This window comes from Homo sapiens, chromosome 1 (genome assembly GCF_000001405.40).
Source record: "Homo sapiens chromosome 1, GRCh38.p14 Primary Assembly".
In the NCBI taxonomy this organism is placed as follows: Eukaryota; Metazoa; Chordata; class Mammalia; order Primates; family Hominidae; genus Homo; species Homo sapiens.
Window position 1 is genome coordinate 89,796,727 of NC_000001.11, and position 5,351 is coordinate 89,802,077.

At 49.7% G+C, this 5,351-nt stretch overlaps 1 annotated feature.

Moving 5' to 3' along the window:
• Positions 1,114–1,807: an enhancer, noted in NCBI's record as "H3K27ac-H3K4me1 hESC enhancer chr1:90263399-90264092 (GRCh37/hg19 assembly coordinates)". NCBI's record gives its function as "activates a minimal SCP1, AML or CMV promoter by ChIP-STARR-seq in naive and primed H9 embryonic stem cells {active_cell/tissue: H9 hESC(naive and primed)}" and the evidence as "EXISTENCE:reporter gene assay evidence [ECO:0000049][PMID:30033119]".

Consider the following 5,351-nt stretch of genomic DNA (forward strand, 5'->3'; position numbering starts at 1 on the left):
GAGTCCTGGGCTGGCCTCTGGAGACCTGTGTGCCATGCAGTGTGCACTGAGTACATAGGCCAGCTCAGTTGGCACCTTGGTCTTTAATGCAGATGAAGCCAGGGTCCCCTACTGGTTACAAATAGGCCTTATTTTTCTTAAAGAGTATTTATCTGCTAAGACAATGCAAACCAATATTGGGATCCATTTTACAAAAGAGGTTTAGGGAAGTTTTTAGGGGAAAAGCTGTTTATCATTGTTTCCATTTGGGGATAACACTCCCTACCTCATTGGTTTGTCCCTGCTCTCCAATATCCTCGTACTGGGTTGAATAGCATCCCCCTCAAAATTCATGTCCTCCCAGGCTTCAGAATGTGATTTGTTTGGAAATACAGTCTTTGTAGATAGAATTAGTTAAGGTGACATCATACCAGATTAGGGTGGGCCCTAAATCCAATGACTGGCATTGTTTTTTTTTTTTTTTAATTTTATTTATTTATTTATTTATTTATTTTTTATTGATCATTCTTGGGTGTTTCTCACAGAGGGGGATTTGGCAGGGTCATAGGACAATAGTGGAGGGAAGGTCAGCAGATAAACAAGTGAACAAAGGTCTCTGGTTTTCCTAGGCAGAGGACCCTGCGGCCTTCCGCAGTGTTTGTGTCCCTGGGTACTTGAGATTAGGGAGTGGTGATGACTCTTAAGGAGCATGCTGCCTTCAAGCATCTGTTTAACAAAGCACATCTTGCACCGCCCTTAATCCATTTAACCCTGAGTGGACACAGCACATGTTTCAGAGAGCACAGGGTTGGGGGTAAGGTCACAGATCAACAGGATCCCAAGGCAGAAGAATTTTTCTTAGTATAGAACAAAATGAAAAGTCTCCCATGTCTACTTCTTTCTACACAGACGCGGCAACCATCCGATTTCTCAATCTTTTCCCCACCTTTCCCGCCTTTCTATTCCACAAAACCGCCATTGTCATCATGGCCCGTTCTCAATGAGCTGTTGGGCACACCTCCCAGACGGGGTGGTGGCCGGGCAGAGGGGCTCCTCACTTCCCAGTAGGGGCGGCCGGGCAGAGGCGCCCCTCACCTCCCGGACGGGGCGGCTGGCCGGGCGGGGGGCTGACCCCCCCACCTCCCTCCCGGACGGGGTGGCTGCCAGGCGGAGACGCTCCTCACTTCCCAGACGGGGCGGCTGCCGGGCGGAGGGGCTTCTCACTTCTCAGACGGGGCGGCTGCCGGGCGGAGGGGCTCCTCACTTCTCAGACGGGGCGGCTGCCGGGGGGAGGGGCTCCTCACTTCTCAGAGGGGGCGGCTGCCGGGCGGAGGGGCTCCTCACTTCTCAGACGGGGTGGCTGCCGGGCGGAGAGGCTCCTCACTTCTCAGACGGGGTGGCCGGGCAGATGCTCCTCACCTCCCAGACGGGGTCGCGGCCGGGCAGAGGTGCTCCTCACATCCCAGACGGGGCGGCGGGGCAGAGGCGCTCCCCACATCTCAGACGATGGGCGGCCAGGCAGAGACGCTCTTCACTTCCTAGATGGGATGGCGGCTGGCATTGTTAAAAGAAGGCCATGTGGACCAGGCACGATGGCTCATACCTGTAACCTCAGCACTTTGGGAGGCCAAGACAGGCAGATCACTTGAGGCCAGGAGTTCAAGATCAGCCTGGCCAATATGGTGAAACCCTGTCTGTACTAAAAATACAAAAAAATTAGCCGGGCGTGGTGGCACCCACCTGTGGTCCCAGCTACTTGAAAGGCTGACATGGAAGAATCCCCTGGGCCCGGGAGGTTGAGGCTGCAGTGAGATCGCACCACTGCACTCCAGCCTGGACAACAAGAGTGAAACTCTGTCTCAAAAAAAAAAAAAAAAAAAAAAAAAAAAAAAATTCACTTACTATACTACCAGATGCTGTGGTCAATGTCAATGTGCTATGGACATGATCCAAGACCTCGCGGAGATCACCTTTTAGAAGGGCAAGCAAACATTAATTACAAAACAAGTGTAGCATTGCTACTATGGGAAGTACTGCTGCAGAACATTAACATGGGATTTCAACTGTGCTTTGGCTGAGGACACAAGACAGTAGTTGGCAAGTGCTCCCTTATCCCAGAGTGAATTACTAGCTCAGCTGTACAGGCCTTGCAAAGGAGGCTGTGAACTGATTTTGACACCTTAGCTGACTGTCCTCTCCAACCTAGGAAAGAGGTTGGAGTTTCTGAGAGGAAGGCTAGAAACACAGAAGGAGGATTTGATGGGTGGACAGTGTGTGGTTCACCCCACCTCCCTACAATGCAGAAGAGGCCATGGGCCTGCAGGAGACCTTCTGGAACCATTGACTGTGTCACTGGAGGTGGAGTTTTGATTGGTATCTGTTTTGTGACTGGGAAATCTAAAGGCCAGGAGTCTGACTGAAGCTGCCCATGGCAACAGTGCAGAGGGTACAATTTGGGAAGTTTACTCCCCTGACAACAGGTCAGAGGTGCATTTTGCCATGAAACTGAAGTTCAGACATCCAAAGGATGAGCTGTGAGTTGACCAGGAGGCTCCTTAAAGGGGCTTTGCCCCAAAAGGCCACTTTTAAAGTTATCCCAACAGAAAGCATTAAATCCTTGAGAACAGGGGCTTCAGGGGGAGATTCAAATGGGCACCTGATCCCCTCTGAGATTTGGGTGAGGGATCACCCGAATCAGGGAAGTACAGGTGAGAGATCCCGGGAGCAGGGTCGCCAAAGAATCTCAGAGCAGCCCATGGGAGAATTCGGAACACCTGCCAGCCCAAAGAGCACAGAGCGCAAGCACTCAGCAGAAGATTTTCAGCCCCTTATCCTACCTCCCCTCTAACCCTGCAGAAATCAGAAGTTGCACCTGGTGGCGGAATGGGAATAGAGCTGGAAGGAGAAACTGGAGCGGTAGAGAGAGAAGCTGACCACATCCCCATTTCCTACTGCAGGTTTCCTGCCCACAACGGGCCAACATTGAATGATTCATAGTTTTTATTATTCCTCCAGACTGGACACAATTAACTACCAAGAGCTAAAGTGACAGAGCACTTTTCATGACCAGATAATCTATGGTGGCTGCTAGAGGAAACTGTCCCCTCAGGGTGGTTTACAGGGGTAATCATGGGAAAAAATAAATTTGTCTTATGACTGGGCTCTTCAAATTCTACACTTTCAATTACACCATGAAAGGGAGGCAAATGGCGCTGTAAGTGCATATGACAGAGGGTTTGACCTGAAAGGAGGAGGTGAGGGGAACACAGACAGGGCCTTGGGTAGTGGGGAATCTTGAAGGATTGCAGCAGCAGCAGCAAAGGGGGTGTGAAGAGCAAATAAGGAGGAGGGGTAGGAATTGAGTTCAGGATGGGCTTTCTGAATTGCCCTATGGGAGATGGAATGGTTTGGGGTGACTTTCAGGTAGAGACCATGGTCATACAAAGTGGTATGTGGGTGAAAGTGAGAAGAAGGTGAACTGGAGAGGGAGAACTAAAGAGGCCGGGGGTGGGGGCCACTCATGAGATGTGAACTCTAGCCAAGATGATGGCAGGGCTGGAGACAGACAGGAGGGCTATGACTGTAGTCATCAATGAGCAGGGAGGAGCAGATCGGGAAGTCTGCATGAACCACAAAGGAACAGGGCTTCACAGACATGACCAAGAGTTGGGAAGACAGGAGATTCAGATGGCTCAGTGGAAGGGTTTGGGAAAGAGGAAGTGAGTGGGAAACTGGGAGGAGGAGAGGGAGCACCACGTTTTGATGGGGTTAGATCATGAAGTGGGGGTTACAGCTGTAGGTCAACCAATGAATATAGGAATGTGAGGAGAGATGATTGAGTCCCTGATGGTATTCTACAGCCTTGCTGCTCAAAGGGTGGTCTGAGGACCAGCAGCATCAACGTCACCTGAGAACTTGATGTCAGGCCCCACTGTGGACAAATGGGATCCGATTCCGCATATGACAAGCCACATAAGTAGTTCTGCGCTAGAGTTTGACAAACAATCCTGGGAGGAACACTGTGAGGTTACCATTTGTAGCTGGATATTCCTTATTTTTTAGTCCATAGGAGGCTGTTTCCTGGCCTTCTGGTGCAACATCTATAGGAAAATTGATTTTAGGAGGCATTACAAATAAGCCATTTGGCACATGGCCACTTAACAGGCTGCTGCGATGGTTTCGGTTTTGGGTTTTGTTTTGTTTTGTTTTTGAGACGAAATCTCGCTCTGTCACCCAGGCTTGAGGGCAGTGGCGTGATCTCAGCACAGTGCAACCTCCGCCTCCTGGGTTCAAGCGGTTCTCCCACCTCAGCCTCCCAAGTAACTGGGATTACAGGTGCCTACCACCATGCCTGGCTGATTTTTGTATTTTTAGTAAGAGACAGGATTTCACCATGTTGGCCAGGCTGGTCTTGAACTCCTGACCTCAGGTGATCTGCCCATCTCAGCCTCCCAAGGTGCTGAGATTACAGGCATGTGCCACCATGCCCAGCCCTGCTGTGATGGTTTTTAGAGACTGATCTATGGCCCAGTCTGTGGATGCTGTTTGGTGGGGATACTGTAGCTGAGTGGAATTGAAGTCAGTTTCACATATGAACAGAGTAAATGATTGGAGGGAGTAGGCAAAGATAAAGCCCCCATGTATCTCCCCATCAGCTTGCATGCTTTAGGCCTGACATCCCACATCTCCCACTCCTGTAGCCAACTCCATAGGTATTTACTGGATGTGCACCAAGGGCCAGGCAGGCACTCTTAAACATCCCCTTCAATTTCCACAGCCTTTGCATAAACCAGCCCACATTTTAATTTTTATTCTCATAACCACGTTTTGAAGGTAGAAGATACTTTCTCTGTTTACAGTCCTGGAGGATTTACCCTAAATCACAGAGCTGATCAGTGGCTGAGCTGGGATTTGAATCTAGATTCTCTAACTTCAGCGGATTTCTGCAGAAAAGGCAGGTTTGTTTATGAAGGGGCTTATTATTTATGTCATAGATACTAGAGTTTGGTGGGCCTTGACCTGTTATAAAGTGTTTGGTTTCCTAATTACATAAGCAAGAGGATTTAAAATGCAGAAAGAGGCCCTTTCAGTGACAATCTCCTTTCTGGTCCTCTCTGACCCATCTCATGGGATATCACAAAGCAAGAAGCACCTCAGAAAGCAGAGAGGCCCATTTCGATGAGCTTGTTTGGGACAATGTGCAAAGAGGCCCTGATGCCCTTTGTGGAGAGGGAGCACTTAGGAAAGCTTGGACATGACTTTTCTGCTTCCTCACCTGGTGGAGTGGCGGCTTGGCAGCTGCATGGCTGTAAAACACCACTGTCTGGTCACTCTGCTTCTAATTGAATGCACATCACACTAAACATATTGTT